At 47.1% G+C, this 18,912-nt stretch overlaps 1 long non-coding RNA gene, 8 other non-coding genes and 2 pseudogenes across 10 annotated transcripts, besides 2 other annotated features; 9 read left to right on the forward strand and 2 right to left on the reverse strand.

Annotated features, from left to right (window-relative positions):
* The first annotated feature begins 1,025 nt into the window (after nt 1-1,025).
* Nucleotides 1,026-1,115, forward strand: MIR516B1 (microRNA 516b-1). The gene has a single exon (NR_030212.1). It is a non-coding gene; the product is annotated as a microRNA 516b-1 (primary transcript).
* A 1,904-nt stretch (nt 1,116-3,019) lies between these two features.
* LOC124904765 (uncharacterized) lies at nt 3,020-16,819 on the forward strand. Of its 2 annotated transcripts, XR_007067334.1 has the most exons (6): nt 3,020-3,269; nt 6,326-6,448; nt 10,384-10,587; nt 11,087-11,325; nt 12,449-12,571; nt 16,209-16,819. It is a non-coding gene; the product is annotated as an uncharacterized LOC124904765 (long non-coding RNA). The 2 variants fall into 2 exon arrangements; XR_007067333.1 differs by lacking the exon at nt 3,020-3,269 and having other exon boundaries at nt 6,168-6,448.
* On the forward strand, nt 3,514-3,600 carry MIR518A2 (microRNA 518a-2). The gene has a single exon (NR_030213.1). It is a non-coding gene; the product is annotated as a microRNA 518a-2 (primary transcript).
* On the forward strand, nt 5,494-5,588 carry MIR517C (microRNA 517c). The gene has a single exon (NR_030214.1). It is a non-coding gene; the product is annotated as a microRNA 517c (primary transcript).
* On the forward strand, nt 6,693-6,780 carry MIR520H (microRNA 520h). Its single transcript, NR_030215.1, has one exon. It is a non-coding gene; the product is annotated as a microRNA 520h (primary transcript).
* RNU6-982P (RNA, U6 small nuclear 982, pseudogene) lies at nt 9,185-9,286 on the reverse strand (annotated as a pseudogene).
* Nucleotides 10,112-10,324: a silencer, noted in NCBI's record as "fragment chr19:54249185-54249397 (GRCh37/hg19 assembly coordinates)". NCBI's record gives its function as "represses an EF-1alpha promoter that drives an FKBP-Casp9 reporter gene in an ReSE screen in K562 erythroleukemia cells {active_cell/tissue: K562}" and the evidence as "EXISTENCE:reporter gene assay evidence [ECO:0000049][PMID:32094911]".
* Nucleotides 11,383-11,981: an enhancer, noted in NCBI's record as "H3K27ac hESC enhancer chr19:54250456-54251054 (GRCh37/hg19 assembly coordinates)". NCBI's record gives its function as "activates a minimal SCP1, AML or CMV promoter by ChIP-STARR-seq in naive H9 embryonic stem cells {active_cell/tissue: H9 hESC(naive)}" and the evidence as "EXISTENCE:reporter gene assay evidence [ECO:0000049][PMID:30033119]".
* MIR521-1 (microRNA 521-1) lies at nt 12,817-12,903 on the forward strand. Its single transcript, NR_030216.1, has one exon. It is a non-coding gene; the product is annotated as a microRNA 521-1 (primary transcript).
* Nucleotides 14,032-14,132, reverse strand: RNU6-751P (RNA, U6 small nuclear 751, pseudogene; annotated as a pseudogene).
* On the forward strand, nt 15,392-15,478 carry MIR522 (microRNA 522). Its single transcript, NR_030217.1, has one exon. It is a non-coding gene; the product is annotated as a microRNA 522 (primary transcript).
* Nucleotides 16,578-16,662, forward strand: MIR519A1 (microRNA 519a-1). Its single transcript, NR_030218.1, has one exon. It is a non-coding gene; the product is annotated as a microRNA 519a-1 (primary transcript).
* A 1,379-nt stretch (nt 16,820-18,198) lies between the features above and the next one.
* MIR527 (microRNA 527) lies at nt 18,199-18,283 on the forward strand. The gene has a single exon (NR_030219.1). It is a non-coding gene; the product is annotated as a microRNA 527 (primary transcript).
* The last annotated feature ends 629 nt before the right edge of the window (nt 18,284-18,912 follow it).

An 18,912-nucleotide genomic window follows, 5' to 3' on the forward strand; every position in this document is an offset into this window, starting at 1 on the left:
TAAAGTGGTCTTAGATCCTCCTGCCTCTGCCCCTCCCCAGTCCTAGGTAGATGGGACTACATGTGAATATTAACCCATGCACAGACAAGAAGAAAGTAAGGACTGTTATTTTGTTCGTACCCAGCCCCCAGTTAAATTTATCATATATATAATATATCATATATATAACATAATCATATACACACAAAATGCTGATTTGAATACAGAGAATACTCTGATATCACTTTGGGTATTTTTTGGTTTGTTTCTGTGTGTGTGTGTTTTATTTGTTTGGTTGGTTATTTTTGAGACAAGGTCTGGCTCTATCACCCAGGCTGGAGTGTAGTGGTGCGTTCTCAGCTCACTGCAACCTCCGCCTTCCACCTAAGCCTGCTGCATTAGTGTCTACAGGCATGCACCACCACACCCGGCTCACTTTTGTATTTTTTGTACACATGGGGTTACACCATGTTGCCGGGGCTGGTCTCGAACTCCTGACCTCAGGTGATTCTCCCGTCTTGGCCTCCTAAAGTGCTAGAATTAGAGGTGTGAGCCACCGTGCCCCACCTGTACTTGTGTATTTATGTTAAAATTGTGTTAAGGAGTTTTTATGACCAAGCCTGTGATCTATTCTGGAGAATATTTGTGCGTATGACAATGTATATTCTTCAACATCGTAGATTCCATTTTGGATGCTCCCACTGGGACTGTGTGCCTATACTGGAACTCAAGTGAACACTTGGCTCAAAATCCATTGCTGTTCTCTAGAAATCCAGCCCAATTCTCTTGGTTAAATATAAGGTATGTGTAGTAGGCATTGCTTTTTCTTTCTAGAGACAAAACTCAGGAGGATTGCCCCTTGATGAACAAGGTAACCTGCTGATTCTTTGAAACAAGAAACTGGAGATGGTTCCTTTAGGGGTTTATGTTCTGGATTCCAGGAAACATGCAAACAGGGCCCACAAATGCATCTTTATGTTTGTGTCCATTTTAACCTGGTCGAAGAACATTCCAACAAAAAATCCACCATGCACCGAGCAAGAATATCTCAGGCTGTGACCATCTGGAGGTAAGAAGCACTTTCTGTTTTGTGAAAGAAAAGAAAGTGCTTCCTTTCAGAGGGTTACTCTTTGAGAAAAGCAACGTTGAAGTTGATGCTGATCTTGGTAATACATTTGGAGAGCATGCTTATCATCAGACGTGGATGACGGTTGGGTTTTGTTTTTGTTTTATTTTTTATCTTAGGCAGGGTCTCTGTTGCCCAGGCTGGAGTGTGTTGGCACTTCCAACCTAGATCTCTTGGTCTTAAATGGTCCTCTTTTTGGGGGGCGGAGTCTCACTCTGACCCAGGCTGGAGTGCAATGGCAGGAACTCCCCTCACTGCAACCTCCACCTCCCGGGTTCAAGCGATTCTCCTGCCTCAGTTTTCCGAGTCGCTAGGATTACAGGCTCACTCCTCCACACCTGGCTAATATTTGTAGTTTTCTTTATTATTCATTTATTTATGTGTTTTTGAGAAGGAGTCTCGCTGTCGCCCAGGCTGGAGTGCAGCTGCACAATCTCAGCTCACTGCAACTTCTGCCACTGGAGTAACTGGGATTTCAGGTGCGTGCCACCACACTTGGCCAATTTTTTATGTGTGTATTTTTAGACCCGGGGTTTTCCCATGTTGGCCAGGCTGGTCTGGAACTCCTGACCTCAGGTGACCCATGCACCTCGGCCTCCCAGAGTGCTGGGATTACAGGCATCAGCCACCGCACCCGGCCCTGTCTCTGACTTTTGCGAACTGAGGAAGTAACCTTTTGAAATTTACTCTGAAGTGTGAATGATTTTAGCATATTTTCAACCACCAACATTCTAGTTCAGGAGATTTTCATCACCCCAAAGAGGCTTATTCCCATTTGCAGTCAGTTCCCACCCCACTCTTCCACCCAGACCGTGACAAACACTTTGCATCTCTCTAGCTCTGGATCTGCCTCTTGTGGGCATGTCACATAGATCAGTTTTGAATAGGTGGCCTGTTGTGACCACTGTAATTGAGGATAATGGGTTGGTCCTGGTTGTCTGCAGTGTGAATCTTACCACTGAAGGGTGGTCCCTGGATGGAAGCAGGAGGCTGGGAGAACTGGGCGGAACATCCTTTGGGAATGGAGTCGGGCGGGCAGACCCTGATGCCTGGGAAGCTCACAAGGGTGGAAGACCACATCTTCCTCCCTGAGAACTGCAAGGTGACCCTCCTGGGGTACTGGAAGGAGTGAAGGCCTCTGGACTGGGAACACCAGGGCATTGCACCGGTGCAGGCAGGATGAGCCAAGGGGAACGGAGAGCCAGGCATCGCTAACTGGCGACAATTTGGGTTTGATCTGGACGGAGTCTGTGTCTTCTGGTAGAGAGAACCCCTGGGATTTTCGCTCTGCTCCTGGCTGTCTTTCAGTCATGGAATCTGATGACAAAGACTCCCGCCCAGAGCCAAGACATTTGGTTTCTGGACCCCAGTGGTCCTTTCTGCCTGGACTTGGGATCTTTTGGGGAAGTTTGGGATCTGGCAGGGCATCTGCATAATCCATAGAAATCCCTGAGAGTCCCTTCCCTTTGCTGACATCTCCATGTTCCTACCTATTAGCTTCCAAAGGAGACTCCTATCTGAATTGCCGAAGGCAGCTTCCCAGGCCAGGGATACCCAGTTAAATTTGTATTTCAGATCAATAGTATATTTCAGATGTACTTGAACAAGAAATGATTTGCTGTTTAGGTGTGGGCATTTGTATTTCCCCCTTTTTTTTTTTTTTTTTTTTTTTTTGACAGAGTTTTGCTCTTCTTACCCAGGCTGGAATGCAATGGCACAATCTTGACTCACTGCAACCTCCACCTCCCAGGTTCAAGCGATTCTCCTGCCTCAGCAGCCCGAGTAGCTGGGATTACAGGCATGCGCCACCACACCCGGCTCAGTTTTTGCATTTAGTGGAGATGGGGGTTCACCATGTTAGCCAGGCTGGTCTCAAACTCCTGACCTCAAGTGATTTCCCTGCATCGGCCTCCCAAAGTGCTGGGATTATAGGCATGAGCCTCCACGCCTAGCCTCAAGTGGTCCTCTTGAGTCAACCTAGACTACAGTCTATGCTAGAGAATGTTTGTGTGTGTGACAATGTATGTTCTTGAACATCATAGATTCCACTTTGGATGCTCCTGTCGGGACTGTGTGTCCCTGTGCTGGAACTCAAGTGAGAGTTGGCTGAAAATCCATTGCTGTTCTCTAGAAATCCAGCCCAAGTCTCTTGGTTAGAGATAAGGTATGTCTAGTGGGCATTGCTTTTTCTTTTTGGGGACAAAACTCAGAAGGATTGCCCCTTGATGAACAAGGCTAACCTGCTGATTCTTTGAAGGAAGGAACTGGAGATGGTCTTTTAGGGGTTTATATTCTGGATTCCAGAAAACTTGCAAACAGGGCCAATACATGCATCTTTATATTTGTGTCCGTTTTGAACTGGTTAAGGAAAATTTCAACAAGAAACCCAGAGTGCCGGAGCAAGAAGATCTCAAGCTGTGGGTCTGCAAAGGGAAGCCCTTTCTGTTGTCTAAAAGAAGAGAAAGCGCTTCCCTTTGCTGGATTACGGTTTGAGAAAGCGACGTTGAAGTTGATGCATTTGCAGAGCATGCTTATCATCAGGCTTGGACAATGGCGGGGTTCTGTTTTGGTTTTGCTTTTTCATTCTAAGACAGGATCTCTGTTGCCCAGGCTGGAGTGCGGTGGCAGTGGCATGTCCAACCTAGCCCTCTTGGATTCAAATGGTCCTTTTTTGCAAGCAAAGTCTCTCTCTCTCACCCAGGCTGGAGTGCAGTGATGTGATCTCGGCTCGCCGCAACCCCCGCCTCCTGGGTTCAAGCGATTCTCCTGCTTCAGCTTCCCAAGTAGCTGAGATTACAGGCACCCATCACCACACCTGGATAATATTTGTATTTTTAAAAATTCATTTATTTATTTATGAGACGGAGTCTCGCTGTCACCCATGCTGGAGGGCAGTGACACGATCTCGGCTCACTGCAATCTCTGCCTCCTGGGTTCAAGCAATTCTTCCTCAGCCTCCTGACTAGCTGGAATTACAGGAGCACACCACCGCACCTGGCTACTTTTTGTATTTTTTTTTTAGTAGAAATGGGATTTCACCATGTTGGTTAGACTGGTCTCAAACTCCTGACCTCAAGTCATCCGCCCACCTCTGACTCTTTCTGGGATTGCAGGTATGCGCCCCCACGCCTGGCCTAATTTTTGAATGTTTAGCAGAGATGGGGTTTCACCATGTTGGCCAGGCTGAACTCAGCTCCTGACCTTAGGTGATCTGCCTGCCTCGGCCTCCCAAAGTGCTGAGAATACAGGCGTGAGCCACCGCGCCTGGCCATCAACACCTTTTACCCCACAGAAATTATTCTGGCACTGGTTTATGGAACTTCACTTGGGGTCAGGTAGAGGTGAAGGGGACCCCAATGTCCCTTGCAGATGGGATGTGTACTGCTCAGCAAGAGCATGGAGGTGGAGTGCATGGGGTTTGAGTTTTCATTGGGGAAATGAAGCTGAAATCTTGGGTGCATGACCAGGTCGTATATGCAACGAGACGGGCGTCTCACTATGCCGCCCAAGCTAAAGTGGGCTTAGATCCTCCTGCCTCTGGCCCTCCCCAGTCCTTAGTAGCTGGGACTACATGTGAATATTAACTCATGTACAGGAAGAGGAAAGTAAGGACTGTTCTTTGATTCATGCCCCACCCCCACTTAAATTTCTATTTCAGATAAACAATGTATTTGAGATGTACTTGAACAACAAATGATTTGCTGTTTAGGTGTGGGCATCTTTTTTTGTTCCTAATTTTAAGTATAGGACAAGGCTGGGTACCACGGCTCACACCTGTGATTCCATCATTTTGGGAGGCCAAGACAGGAGGATCACCTGAGGTCAGTTGTTTGAGACCAGCCTGGCCAACATGGTGAATCCCCATCTCTACTAAAAATACAAAACTTAGCCCAGTGTGGTGGTGGTACACGCCTGTAATCCCAGCTACTCAGGAGGCTGAGGCAGGAGAATCACAGGAAGCCGGGAAGCTGAGCTCTCAGTGAGCTGAGATCGCACCACTGAACTCCAGCCTAGGCAACAGTGAGACTCAATCTCAAAAAAATAAAAAATAGGCCGGGTGCGGTGGCACACGCTTGTAATCCCAGCACTTTGGGAGGTCGAGACGGGTGGATCACCTCAGGTCAGAGTTCAAGAGCAGCCCCGCCATCAAGACAAAACCTCCTCTCTACTAAAAATGCAAAATATAGCTAGGCGTGGTGGTACACACCTGTAGTCTCAGCTACGTGGGAGGCGGCAGCAGGAGAATCTCTTGAACCCGTGAGAAGGAGATTGCAGTGAGCTAAAATCACACCATTGCACTGCAGCCTGGGCGACTCCATCTCAAAAAATAAATACATAAATAAATAAATACATAAATACATAAAAAATAACCCAGAGTACTGGAGCAAGAAGATCTCAGGCAGTGACCCTCTAGATGGAAGCACTGTCTGTTGTCTAAGAAAAGATCGTGCATCCTTTTAGAGTGTTACTGTTTGAGAAAATCAACGTTGAAGATGCTGCTGATCTTGGTAACACATTTGCAGAGCGTGCTTATCATCAGACGTGCATGATGTTGGGGTTCTGTTTGTTTTGTTTTTTTTTTCCAAGACAGTGTCTCTGTTGCCCAGACTAGAGTGGGTGGCACCTCCAACCGAGATCTCTTGGGCTCAAGTGGTCCTCTTTTTATTTTTTGATTTTTTGAGACCCACTCTGGTTTCACTGGGAGTGCAGTAGCAGAATCTCTGTTGACCGGAAACTCCACCTCTCAGGTTCCAGTGTTTCTACCACCTCAGCCTGCCGAATCATTGGGAATTCAGTTGCCTGCCATCAGGTCTTGCTAATTATTATTGTTTTTTTGTTTTTTTTTTTTGAGGCGGAGTTTCGCTCTTGTTGCCCAGGCTGGAGGGCAATAGCGCGATCTCGGCTCACCGCAACCTCGGCCTCCCGGGTTCAAGTGATTCTCCTGCCTCAGCCTCCCAGATAGCTGGAATTACAGGTGCCTACCACCCCACCCAGCTAATTTTTGTGTTTTCAGTAGAGATGGGGTTTCACCATGTTGGGCAGGCTGGTCTCAAACTCCTGACCTCAGGTGATCCACCAGCCTTGGCCTCCCAAAGTACTGGGATTACAGCTGTGAGCCATCACCCCTAATCTCAAATGGTCCTGTAGAGTCAGCCTAGACTGTGGTCTATCTTGGAGGATGTTTGTGTGTGAGACAATGTATATTCTTCAACATTGTAGATTCCATTTTGGATGCTTCCATCGGGACTGTGTGCCCCTGTCCTGGAACTCAGCTGAACACTTGGCTCAAAATCCATTGCTGTTCTCTGGAAATTCTGCCCTAATCTCTTGGTTAAATATAAGGTATGTGTAGTAGGCTTTGCTTTTTCTCTTTGGGGACAAAACTCAGGAGGGTTGCCCCTTGGTGAACAAGGCTAACCTGCTGAGCCTTTGAAGCAAGGAACTGGAGATGGTCCTTTTAGGGGTTTATGTTCTGGATTCCAGAAAATATGCAAACAGGGCCAATAAATGCATCTTTATTTTGTGTGTATTTTAACCTGGTCAAGGAAAATTCCAACAAGAAACCCAGAGTGCTGGAGCAAGAAGATCCCATGCTGTGACCCTCTAGAGGAAGCACTTTCTGTTTGTTGTCTGAGAAAAAACAAAGTGCTTCCCTTTAGAGTTACTGTTTGGGAAAAGCAGTGTTGAAGTTGATGCTGATGTTGGTAATATATTTGCATGCTTATCATCAGACTTGGATGATGTTGGGGTTCTGGGTTTTTTTTGTTTTCTAAGACAGGGTCTCTGTGGCCCAGGCTGGAGTACAGAGGCACTTCCAACCTAGGTCTCTTGGGCTCAAATGGTCCTTTTTGGGACAGAGTCTTGCTCTGTGACTCAGGCTGGAGTGCAGTGGTGCAATCTCAGCTCACTGCACCCTCCACCTCCTGGGTTCAAGTGATTCTCCTGCCTCAGCTTCCTGGGATTACAGGCACCTGACATCATGCCCAGCTAATATTTGTATTTTTCTTTTTTATTCATTCATTTATTTATTTTTTAGGTGGAGTCTTGCTGTTGCCAAGTCTGGAGGGCCATGGCACGATCCCGGCTGACTCCAACCTCTGTCTCTCAGGTTCAAGCAATTCTCCTGCCTCAGCCTCCTGAGTAGCTGGAATTACAGGCGCTTACCACCACGCCTGACTGCTTTTCGAATGTGTGCGTATGTGTGTGTATGTGTGTTAGAGAGAAAGAGAGAGAGAGAGATGGAGTTTCACTCTTGTTGCCCAGGCTGGAGGGCAATGACATGATCTCGGCCCATACAACCTCAGCCTCCTGGGTTCAAGTGATTCTCCTGCCTCAGCCTCCTGAGTAGCTAGGATTACAGGCATGTGCCACCACACCTGGCTAATTTTGTATTTTTAGTAGATATGGGGCTTCCCCATGTTGGTCAGGCTGGTCTCGAACTCCTGACCTCAAATGATTCACCTGCCTCAGTCTCCCAAAGTGCTGGGATTACAGGTGTGAGCCAACATGCCCGGCCTGAATTTTTTTTTTTTTTTTTTTTTTTTCAAGTAAAGACGGGGTTTCACCATGTTGACCAGGCTGGTCTCAAACCTCTGAACTCACGTGAGCTGCTCGCCTCGGCCTCCCAAAGGCATGAGCCATGGTGCGTGGCCATCAACACCTCTTACTTTATCGAAATTTTTCTGGCACTGGTATAGAACCTCACGTGGGGTCAGGTGGAGTTGAAGGGACCTCAGTGTCCCTGCAGATGGGATGAGCAAGAGCACGGAGGTGGAGTGCATGGGGCTTCAGTGTTTATTGGGGAAATGAAGCTGAAATCTTGGGTGCGTGACCAGGAAATAAATGCATGAGACGGGGGTCTCACTATGCCACCCTGGCTAAAGTGGGCTTAGATCCTCCTGCCTCTGCCCCCCGCAGTCCTTGCTAGATGGGACTACATGTGAATATTAACCCATGCACAGACAAGAAGAATGTAAGAACCATTATTTGGTTCACACCGGGCCCTCAGTTAAACTTGTATTTTAGACAAACAATGTATCTGAGATGTCCTTGAACAACAAATGATTTGCTGTTCAGGTGTGGGCATCTTTGTTTTTTCCCTAATTTTAATGATGGGACTAGTCTGGGTACGGTGGCTCCCGCCTGTAATTCCAGCACTTTGGGAGGCTGAGATAGGAGGATCACCTGAGGTCAGTTGTTTGAGACCAGCCTCGCCAACATGATGAAACCTCGTCTGAACTAAAAATATAGATATTAGCCAGACGGGGTGGTGGTGCACCCCTGCAATCCCAGCTACTCAGGAGGCTGAGGCAGGAGAATCACTTGAAGCCAGGAGGCTGAGCTTTCAGTGAGCTGAGATTGAGCCACTGCACTCCAGCCTGGGCAACAGAGTGAGACTCAGTCTCAAAAAAGTAAAAAATAGGCTGGGTGTGGGCCGGGCGCGGTGGCTCACGCCTGTAATCCCAGCACTTTGGGAGGCCGAGGTGGGTGGATCACAAGGTCAGGAGACTGAGACCATCCTGGCTAACACGGTGAAACCCTGTCTCTAGTAAAAATACAAAAAAAAAAAAAAAATTAGCCAGACGTGATGGTGTGCGCCTGTACTCCTAGCTACTCAGAAGGCTGAGGCAGGAGAATGGCCTGAGCCCGGGAGGCGGAGCTTGCAGTTAGCTGAGATCGCACCACTGCACTCCAGCCTGGGTGACAGAGCAAGACTCCGTCTCAAAAAAAAAAAAAAAAAAAAAAAGGCGGGGTGTGGTAGTGCACATCTGTAATCCCAGCATTTCGGGAGGCCAAGACAGGAATTACCTGAGGTCAGGAGTTCAAGACCAACAGGGCCAACATGGCAAAACCTCGTCTCTACTAAAAATACAAAAATTATCTGGGTGCAGTGGTACACATCTGTAATTCCGGCTACCCAGAGGCTGAGGCAGGAGAATAGCTTGAACCCAGGAGGAGGAGATTTCAGTGAGCTGAAATCACACCATTGCACTTCAGCCTGGGCCACAGAGCAAGATTGTGTCTCAAAAATAAATAAATAATAAAAATGACATAAAATCAATAAATAAAAATAAATACATAAATACAGGAACATCATTAATTTGGATGTCACCTTTGTGCAGGGGCCAGGGTAATCTCTGTCATTCCAATTTTTTTTATGTGCACTGCCAAAGCAAGCACTCATGTAGGAATTATCCTTCCTGTGAGCATATAATATATGGAACATTCTTTGAGACAGGGTCTCAAAAATATGATGTGTATTTCATCATATATATAATATAATCGTATACACACAAAATACTGTTTAAATACAGAGAATACCCTGATATCACCTTGGGTATTTTTCTTTGTTTCTGTGTGTGTGTGTGTGTGTGTGTGTGTGTGTGTGTGTGTGTTTGTTTGGTTATTTCTGAGACAAGGTCTGGCTCTATCGCCCAGGCTGGAGTGTAGTGGTGTGATCTCAACTCACTGCAACCTCCGCCCCCCACCTAAACCTGCTGAATTAGTGTCTACAGGCATGCACCAGCACACCTGGCTAACTTTTGTATTTTTTGTACATATGGGGTTACACCATGTTGCCGGGGCTGGCCTCTAACTCCTGAGCTCAGGTGATCCTCCCGCCTCAGCCCCTAAAGTGCTGGGATTAGAGGTGTGAGCCACCGCACCCCAGCCATACTTGTGTATTTCTATTCAAATTTTATTGAGGAGTTTTTACCGCCCAGCCTGTGGTCTATCCTGGAGAATGTTTGTGTGTGCGACAATGTATATTCTTCACCATCGTAGATTCCGTTTTGGATGCTCCCATCGGGACTGTGTGTCCCTGTGCTGGAACTCGAGTGAACACTTGGCTCAAAATCCACTGCTGTTCTCTAGAGATCTGTAGGGTCCAGCCCTACTGGGCCTGTGGGTTTTTCTCTTCGTGAGCAGATAGGAGAGATTGTAGAAATAAAGACACAAGACAAAGAGAGAGAAGAAAAGGCAGCTGGGCCTGGGGGACCACTACCACCAAGACGTGGAGACCGGTAGTGGCCCCGAATGCGTGGCCGCGCCGTTATTTATTGTATACGAGGCAAAAGGGCAGGGTAAGAAGTGTGAGTCTTCTCTAATGATAGGTAAGATGACGCGAGTCACGTGTCCACCGGACAGGGGGCCCCTTCCCTATTTGGTAGCTTAGGCGGAGAGAGATTGGGGACAGCTTACGTCATTATTTCTTCTATGTATTTCTCGGAGAGATCAAAGACTTTAATACTTTCACTTATTCTGCTACCGTTATCTAGAAGGCGGAGCCAGGTGTGCAGAGCGGAACGTGAAAGTGGACCAGGAGCGTGACCGCTGAAGCACAGCATCACAGGGAGACGTTTAGGCCACCAGACGGCTGCGGGCGGGCTTGACTGATGTCAGGCTTTCCACAAGAGGTGGTGGAGCAGAGTCTTCTCTAACTCCCCTGGAGAAAGGGAGACTCCCTCTCCGGGTTTGGGAAGGTAAGGGGGTCCTTCCCAGGCACTGGCGCTACCGCTGTGCTAAGTGACGGGTGCCTTCCCCCTGGTGTTACCGCTGGACCAGGGAGCCCTCTAGTGGCCGTGTCCGGGCATGACAGAGGGCTCACGCTCTTGTCTTCTGGTCGCTTCTCACCGTGTCCCTTCAGCTCCTATCTCTGTATGGCCTGGTTTTCCCTAGGTTATGATTGTAGAACAAAGATTATTATAATATTGGAATAAAGAGTAATGCTACAAACTAATGATTAATAATATTCATATATAATCATATCTATAATCTATTTCTAGTATAACTAGTCTTATTCTATATATTTTCTTTGTTATACTGGAACGGCTTGTGGTGAGTTTCTTTATTATACCGGAACAGCTTGTGCCTTCGGTCTCTTGCCTCGGCACCTGGGTGGCTTGCCACCCACAGAAATCCTGCCCGTTTCTCTTGGTTAAATATAATGTATTTCTAGTAGGCATTGCTTCTTCTTTCCAGAGACAAAACTCAGGAGGATTGTGCTATGATAAACAAGGCTAACCTGCTGATTCTCTGAAGCAAGGAACTGGAGATGGTCCTTCTAAGGGTTTATATTCTGGATTCCAGGAAACATGCAAACAGGACCCATAAATGCATCTTTATTTTGGTGCCCATTTTGACCTGGTCAGGAGAATTCCAACAAAAAATCCACGGTGTTGGAGCAAGATCTCAGGCTCTCAGGCTGTGGCCATCTAGAGGTAAGAAGCACTTTCTGTTGTCTTAAAGAAAAGAAAGTCCTTTTTTTTTTTTTTTTTTTTTTTTGAGACAATGTCTCGCTCTGTCGCCCAGGCTGGAATGCAGTGGCGTGATCTTGGCTCACTGCAAGCTCCGCCTCCCGGGTTCATGCCATTCTCCTGCCTCAGCCTCCTGTGTAGCTGGGACTACAGGCGCCCGCCACCAAGCCCGGCTAATTTTTTGTATTTTTAGTAGAGACGGGGTTTCATCTTGTTAGGCAGGATGGTCTCGATCTCCTGACCTCATGATCCACCCGCCTCGGCCTCCCAAAGTGCTGGGATTACAGGCGTGAGCCACCACGCCCGCCCAGAAAGTGCTTTCTTTCAGAGGGTTACGGTTTGAGAAAAGCAGCATTGAAGTTGACGCTGATCTTGGTAATACATTTGCAGAGCATGCTTATGGTCAGACGTGGATGATGGTGGGGTTTTGTTTTTGTTTTGTTTTTTATCTGAGACAGGGTGTCTCTGTTGCCCAGGCTGGAGTGCAGTGGCACATCCAACCTAGATCTCTTGGGCTCAAGTGGTCCTCTTTTTGAAACAGAGTCTCACTCTGTTACCCTGGCTGGAGTTCAGTGGCAGGAACTTGGCTCACTGCAATCTCTGTCTCCTGGGTTCAAGCAATTCTCTGGCCTCAGCCTCCCGAGCAGGGTTACAGGCATGTGCCACCACGCCCGGCTAATTTTTGCATTTTTTTAATTGATTTATTTGTTTGTTGTTGAGACAGTCTCACTCTGTTGCCCAGGCTGTAGTGCAGTGGTGTGATCTCAGCTCACCGCAACCTCCACCTCCCATGTCAGCCTCCTGAATACCTGTCTCCAGGCATGCACCCCCACACCTGGCTAACTTTTGCATTTTTTGTACAGATGAGGTTTCACCATGTTGCCCAGGCTGGTCTTGAACCCCTGAGCTCAAGTGGTCCTCCCACCTCGGCCTCCTAAACTGCTGTGATTAATGGTGTGAGCCACCGTGCCACACCCGTACTTGTTTGTTTCTGCTCAAATTGTATTGAGGAGCTTTTACATCCTAGTCTGTGGTCTATCCTGGAGGATGTTTGTGTATATAACAATGTACATTTTCAACATTTTAGATTCCATTTTGGATGCTCCCATCGGGACTGTGTGTCCCTGTGCTGGAACTCGAGTGAACACTTGGCTCAAAATCCATTGCTGTTCTCTAGAAATCCTGCCCTATTCTCTTGGTGAAATATAAGGTATGTCTAGTCGGCATTGATTTTTCTTTCTGGAGACAAAACTCAGGAGGGTTGCCCCTGCATGAACAAGGCTAACCTGCTGAGCCTTTGAAGCAAGGAACTGGAGATGGTTTTTTTAGGGGTTTATATTCTGGATTCCAGAAAACATGCAAACAGGGACAATGAATGCATCTTTATTTTTCTGTCCATTTTAACCTGGTAAACGAAAATTTCACCAAAAAACCCAGAGTCCTGGAGCAAGAAGATCTCAGGCTGTGACCCTCCAAAGGGAAGAACTTTCTGTTGTCTAAAAGAAAAGAACGCACTTCCCTTTAGAGTGTTACCGTGTGAGAAAAGCAACGTTGAAGCTGATGCTGATCTTGGTAATAAGTTTGCAGAGCCTGCTTATCATCAGACTTGGACGACGGTGTAGTTCTGTTTTGGTTTTGAGTTTTTTGTTTGTTTGTTTTGTTTTGCTTTTGAGATGGAGGCTTGCTCTGTCGCCCAGGCTGGAGTGCAGTGGCGTGTTCTCAGCTCACTGCAACCTCCGCCTCCCAGGTTCACGCCATTCTTCTGCCTCTTGAGTAGCTGGGACTACAGGCGCCCGCCACCACGCCTGGCTAATTTTTTGTATTTTTAGTAGACACAGAGTTTCACTGTGTTAGCCAGGATGGTCTTGATCTCCTGACCTTGTGATCCACCCGCCTTGGCCTCCAAAAGTGCTGGGATTACAGGCGTGAACCACTGCGCCCGGCCTTAATTTTTGTATTTTTAGTAGAGACAGGAGGCTGAGCTTTCAGTGAGCTGAGTTCGTTCCACTGCACTCCAGCCTGGGCAACAGAGTGAGACTCCATCTCAAAAAAATAAAAAATAGGCCGAGCGTGGTGGCACATGCCTGTAATCCCAGCCCTTTGGGAGGCCGAGACAGGTGGATCACCTGAGGTCAGGAGTTAAAGGCTGGCTGGGCCAACAAGGCAAAACCTCGACTCTACTAAAAATACAAAATTACACCTGTAATCTTAGCTGCTTGGGGGGCTGTGGCAGAAGAACCTCTTGAACCCAGGAAGAGGAGATTGCAGTGAGACGAAATCATACCATTGCACTCTAGCCTGGGCGACAGAGCGAGATTCTGTCTCAAAAAATAAATAAGTAGGGCAGACAGGGTGGCTCACGTCTGTAATCCCAGCACTTTGGGAGGCAAGGCGGGTAAATCACAAGGTCAGGAGTTCGAGACCAGCCTGGCCAACATGGCGAAACCCCATCTCTACTAAAAATACAAAAAAGTAGCTGGGCATGGTGGCTGGCACCTGTAGTCCCAGCTACTTGGGAGGCTGAGGCAGGAGAATCGTGTGAACCCAGGAAGCGGAGGTTGCAGTGAGCCGAGATCGGGCCATTGCACTCCAGCCTGGGCGACAGTGCGAGACTCTGTATCAAAAATAAGTAAATAAATAAACAAAATAAAAGTAAAAAGAATTAAATAGATAAATATGGTACCATTATGAATTTGAGTGTCACCTTTGTGCAGGGGTCATGGTAATCTTTGTTATTTCAATTTTTTTATGCGTATTGCCAAAGCAAGCACATATGCGTAGGAATTATACTTCCTGTGAGAATACAATATATGGAGCTTTCTTTTTTGTTTTTTCTGTTTGTTTGTTTTTTGAGACACAGTTTCACTCTTGTTGCCCAGGCTGGAGTGCAATGTCACGATCTCAGCTCACGGCAACCTCTGCCTCCTGGGTTCAAGCGATTCTCCTGCCTCAGCCTCCCAAGTAGCTGGGATTGCTTGCATGTGCCACCAAGCCTAGCTAATTTTTTGTATTTAGAGTAGAGATGGGGTTTCTCCATGTTGGTCAGGCTGGTCTCGAACTCCTGACCTCAGATGATCCATCCACCTCAGCCTCCCAAAGTGCTGGGATTACAGATGTGAGCCACCATGCCCGGCCATGATATATTTTTATATATGTAATATCACATACACACAAAATACTCTTCTATGCACAGAGAATAGTCTTATATCACTTTGGGTATTTGTGTGTGTGTGTGTGTGTGTGTGTGTGTGTGTGTGTGTGTGTGTGTTTTGTTTGGTTGGTTATTTTTGAGACAAGGTCTGGCTCTGTCATCCAGGCTGGAGTGTAGTGGTGTGATCTCAGCTCACTGCAACCTCCACCCCCGACCTAAGCCTACTGAATTAGTGTCTACAGGCACGCACTACCACACCTGGCTCACTTTTGTATTTTTTGTACACATGGGGTTTCACAATGTTGCCGGGGCTGGTCTCAAACTCCTGTGCTCAGGTGATCCTCCCATCACGGCCTCCTAAAGTGCTGGAATTAGAGGTGTGAGCCGCCACGCCCCACCTGTACTTGTGTATCTCTGTTCAAATGTTACTGAGGAGCTTTTACAGCGTAACCTGTGGTCTATCCTGGAAAATGTTTGTGTGTGAGACAATGTACATTCTTCAACATCTTAGATTGCAGTTTGGATGCTCCCGTCAGGACTGTGTGTCCCTGTGCTGGGACTCAAGTGAACACTGGGCTCTCCATCCATTGCTGTTGTCTAGAAATCCAGCCCAATTCTCTTGGGTAAATATGAGGTATGTGTAGTAGGCATTGCTTTTTCTTTCTGGAGACAAAGCTCAGGAGGATTGCCCCTTGATAAACAAAGCTAACCTGCTGATTCTTTGAAGCAAGGAACTGGAGATGGTCCTTTTAGGGGTTTATATTCTGGATTCCAGAAAACATGCAAACAGGACCAATAAATGCGTGCTTATTTTTGTGTCTGTTTTAACCTGGTCAAGGAAAATTCCAACAAAAAATCCACGATGCTGGAGCAAGAAGATCTCAGGCTGTGTCCCTCTAGAGGGAAGCGCTTTCTGTTGTCTGAAAGAAAAGAAAATGGTTCCCTTTAGAGTGTTACGCTTTGAGAAAAGCATCGCTGATCTTGGTAACACATTTGCAGAGAATGCTTATAATCAGACGTGGATGATGTTGAAGTTTTGCGTTTGTTTTGTTTTGTTTTTTTTCCTAGACAGGGTGTCTGCTGCCCAAACTGGAGTGCGGTGGCACTTCCAACCTAGACCTCTTGGGTTTAAGTGGCCCTCTATTTTGGGATAGAGTCTTGCTCTGTGGCCCTGGCTGGAGTGCAGTGTCAGGAACTCTGCTCACTGCGACCTCTGCCTCCTAGGTTCAAGCGATTCTCTTGCCTCAGCCTCCTGAGCAGCTGGGATTACGGGCATGTGCCACCATGCCTGGCTAATTTTTGTATTTTTTATTATTTATTTATTTATTTATTTTTGAGACAGAGTCTCGCTCTGTCACCCAGGCTGAAGTGCAGTGGTGCGATCTTGGCTCACCGCAACCTCTACCTCCCACCTCAGCCTCCTGAACAGCTGTCTCCAGGCGTGCACCACCACACCTGGCTAACTTCTGTATTTGTTTTACAGTCATGGTTTCACCATGTTGCCCGGGCTCATCTTGAACTCCTGAGCTCAAGTGATCCTCCCGCCTCAGCCTCCTAAAGTGCTGTGAGCCACCGTGTCCCAACAGTACTTGTGTGTTTCCGTTCAAATTGTATTGAGGAGCTTTTACAGCATAGCCTGTGGTCTCTCCGGGAGAATGTTTTTGTTTACGACAATGTATATTCTTCAACATCGTAGATTCCATTTTGGATGCCCTCATTGGGACTGTGTGTCCCTGTACTGGAACTCAAGTGAACACTTGGCTCAAAATCCATTGCTGTTCTCTAGAAATCCAGCCTAATTCTCTTGGTTAAAGGTAAGGTATGAGTAGTAAGCATTGCTTTTTCTCTTTGGGAACAAAACTCAGGAGGATTGCCCCTTGATGAACAAAGCTAACCTGTTGATTCTTTGAGGGAAGGAACTGGAGATGGTCCTTTTAGGGGTTTATGTTCTGGATTCTAGAAAACACACAAACCGGACAAATAAATGCATCTTTATTTTTGTGTCTATTTTAACCTCGTCAAGGAAGATTCCAACAAAAAATCCACAGTGCCGGAGCAAGAAGACCTCAGGCTGTGACACTCTAGAGGGAAGCGCTTTCTGTTGTCTGAAAGAAAGGAAAGTGCATCCTTTTAGAGTGTTACTGTTTGAGAAAAGCAACATTGAAGCTGATGCTGATCTTGGTAATAAATTTGCAGCGAATGCTTATAATCAGACTTGGATGATGTTGGGCTTCTGAGTTTTTTTTTGTTTTGTTTTGTTTAGTTTTGGGGTTTTTCTGTTTTTTGTTTTTTGTTTTTTTTTTTTTTGAGGCCGAGTCTTGCTCTTTCGCCCAGGCTGGAGTGCAGTGGCGCTATCTCGGCTCACTGCAAGTTCTGCCTCCCGGGTTCACGCCATTCTCCTGCCTCAGCCTCCTGTGTAGCTGGGACTACAGGTGCCCGCCAGCACACCCGGCTAATTCTTTGTATTTTTAGTAGAGACGGGGTTTCACCGTGTTAGCCAGGATGGTCTCGATCTCCTGACCTCGTGATCCACCCGCCTCAGCCTCCCAAAGTGCTGGGATTACAGGCGTGAGCCACCGCGTCCAGCCTTGTTATTGTTTTTGAGACTGAGTCTTGCTCTGTGGCCCAGGCTGGAGCGCAGTGGCGTGATCTCGGCTCACTGCAACCTCCATCTCCCAGGCTCAAGCAATTCTCCTGCCTCAGCCTCCTGAGTAGCTGGGATTACAGGCCTGTGCCACCATGCCCGGCTAATTATTTGTATTTTTAGTAGAGACAGGGTTTGCACCATGTTGGCCAGGCTGGTCTCGAACTCCTGACCTCAGGTAATCCACCCACGTCGATCTCCCAAAGTGCTGGGATTACAACTGTGAGCCACTGCGCCCGGCCTGTTTTTCTCTACCACAGGGTGTCTGTTGCCCAGGCTGGAGTGCGGTGGCATTTTTAACATAGATCTCTTGGGCTCGAGTGGTCCTTTTTTTTGGTTCAGTCTTGCTTTGTGACCCAGGCTGGAGGGCAGTGGCAGAAACTCTCCTCACTGCAACCTCCGCCTCCTAGGTTCAAGCCATTCTCCTGACTCAGCCTCCTGAGCAGCTGGGATTACCGGTGTGAGCCACCACACCCAGCTAATTTTTGTATTTTTATTTATTTGTTTATTTATTTATTTATTGTTGAGACGGAGTCTTGCTGTGTCTCCCAGGCTGGAGTGCAGTGGCGCGATCGTGGCTTACTGCAACCTCCTCCTCCTTGGTTCAACCAATTCTCCTGCCTCAGCCTCCTGAGAAGCTAGGATTACAGGCATGCACCACCATGCCTGGCTAATTTAGATTCCATTTTGGATGCTCCCATCAGGACTGTGTCCCTGTACTGGAACTCAGGTGAACACTTGGTTCAAAATCCGTCGCTTTTCTCTAGACATCCAGCTCAGTTCTCGGTAAAGATAAGGTATGTGTAGTAGGCATTGCTTTTTCCCTTTAGAGACAAAACTCAGGAGGATTGCCCCTTGGTGAACAAGGCTAACTTGCAGATTCTTTGAAGCAAGGAACTGGAGATGGTCCTTTTAGGGGTTTATGTTCTGGATTCCAGAAAACATGCAAACAGGGCCAATACATGCATCTTTATTTTTGTGTCCGTTTTGACCTGGTCAAGGAAAATTTCAACAAGAAACCCAGAGTGCCGGAGCAAGAAGATCTCAAGCTGTGACTGCAAAGGGAAGCCCTTTCTGTTGTCTAAAAGAAAAGAAAGTGCTTCCCTTTGGTGAATTACGGTTTGAGAAAAGCAACGTTGAAGTTGATGCTGATCTCGGTAATACATTTGCAGAGCATGCTTATCACACTTGGACGGTGGTGGGGTTCTGTTTTGGTTTTGCTTTTTTATTCTAAGACAGGGTCTGTGTTGCCCATGCTGGAGTGCGGTGGCACATCCCACCTAGGTCTCTTGGATTCAAATGGTCCTTTTTGGGGGCAGAGTCTCTCTATCACCGAGGCTGGAGTGCAGTGATCCCATCTTGGCTCACTACAACCTCCGCCTCCCAGGTTCAAGCAATTCTCCTGCTTCGGCCTCCCAAGTAGCTGAGATTTACAGGTGCCCATCCCCACACCTGGATAATATTTGGTTTTATTCATGTATTTATTTATTTTTAAGATGGAGTCTCACTGTCACCCAGACTGGAGGGCAGTGGCACGATCTCGGCTCGCTGCCACCTGCGCTTCCCTGGTTCAAGTAATGCTTCTGCCTTAGCCTCCTGAGTAGCTGGAATTACAGAAGTACACCACCACACCTGGCTACTTTTTATATTTCATTTTTAATACAGACTGGATTTCACCATGTTGGCTAGTATGATATATATTTTGTCATATATTCTTATATATATAATCATATACACACAAAATACTCTTCTGCAC

This window comes from Homo sapiens, chromosome 19 (genome assembly GCF_000001405.40).
Source record: "Homo sapiens chromosome 19, GRCh38.p14 Primary Assembly".
NCBI lineage: Eukaryota > Metazoa > Chordata > Mammalia > Primates > Hominidae > Homo > Homo sapiens.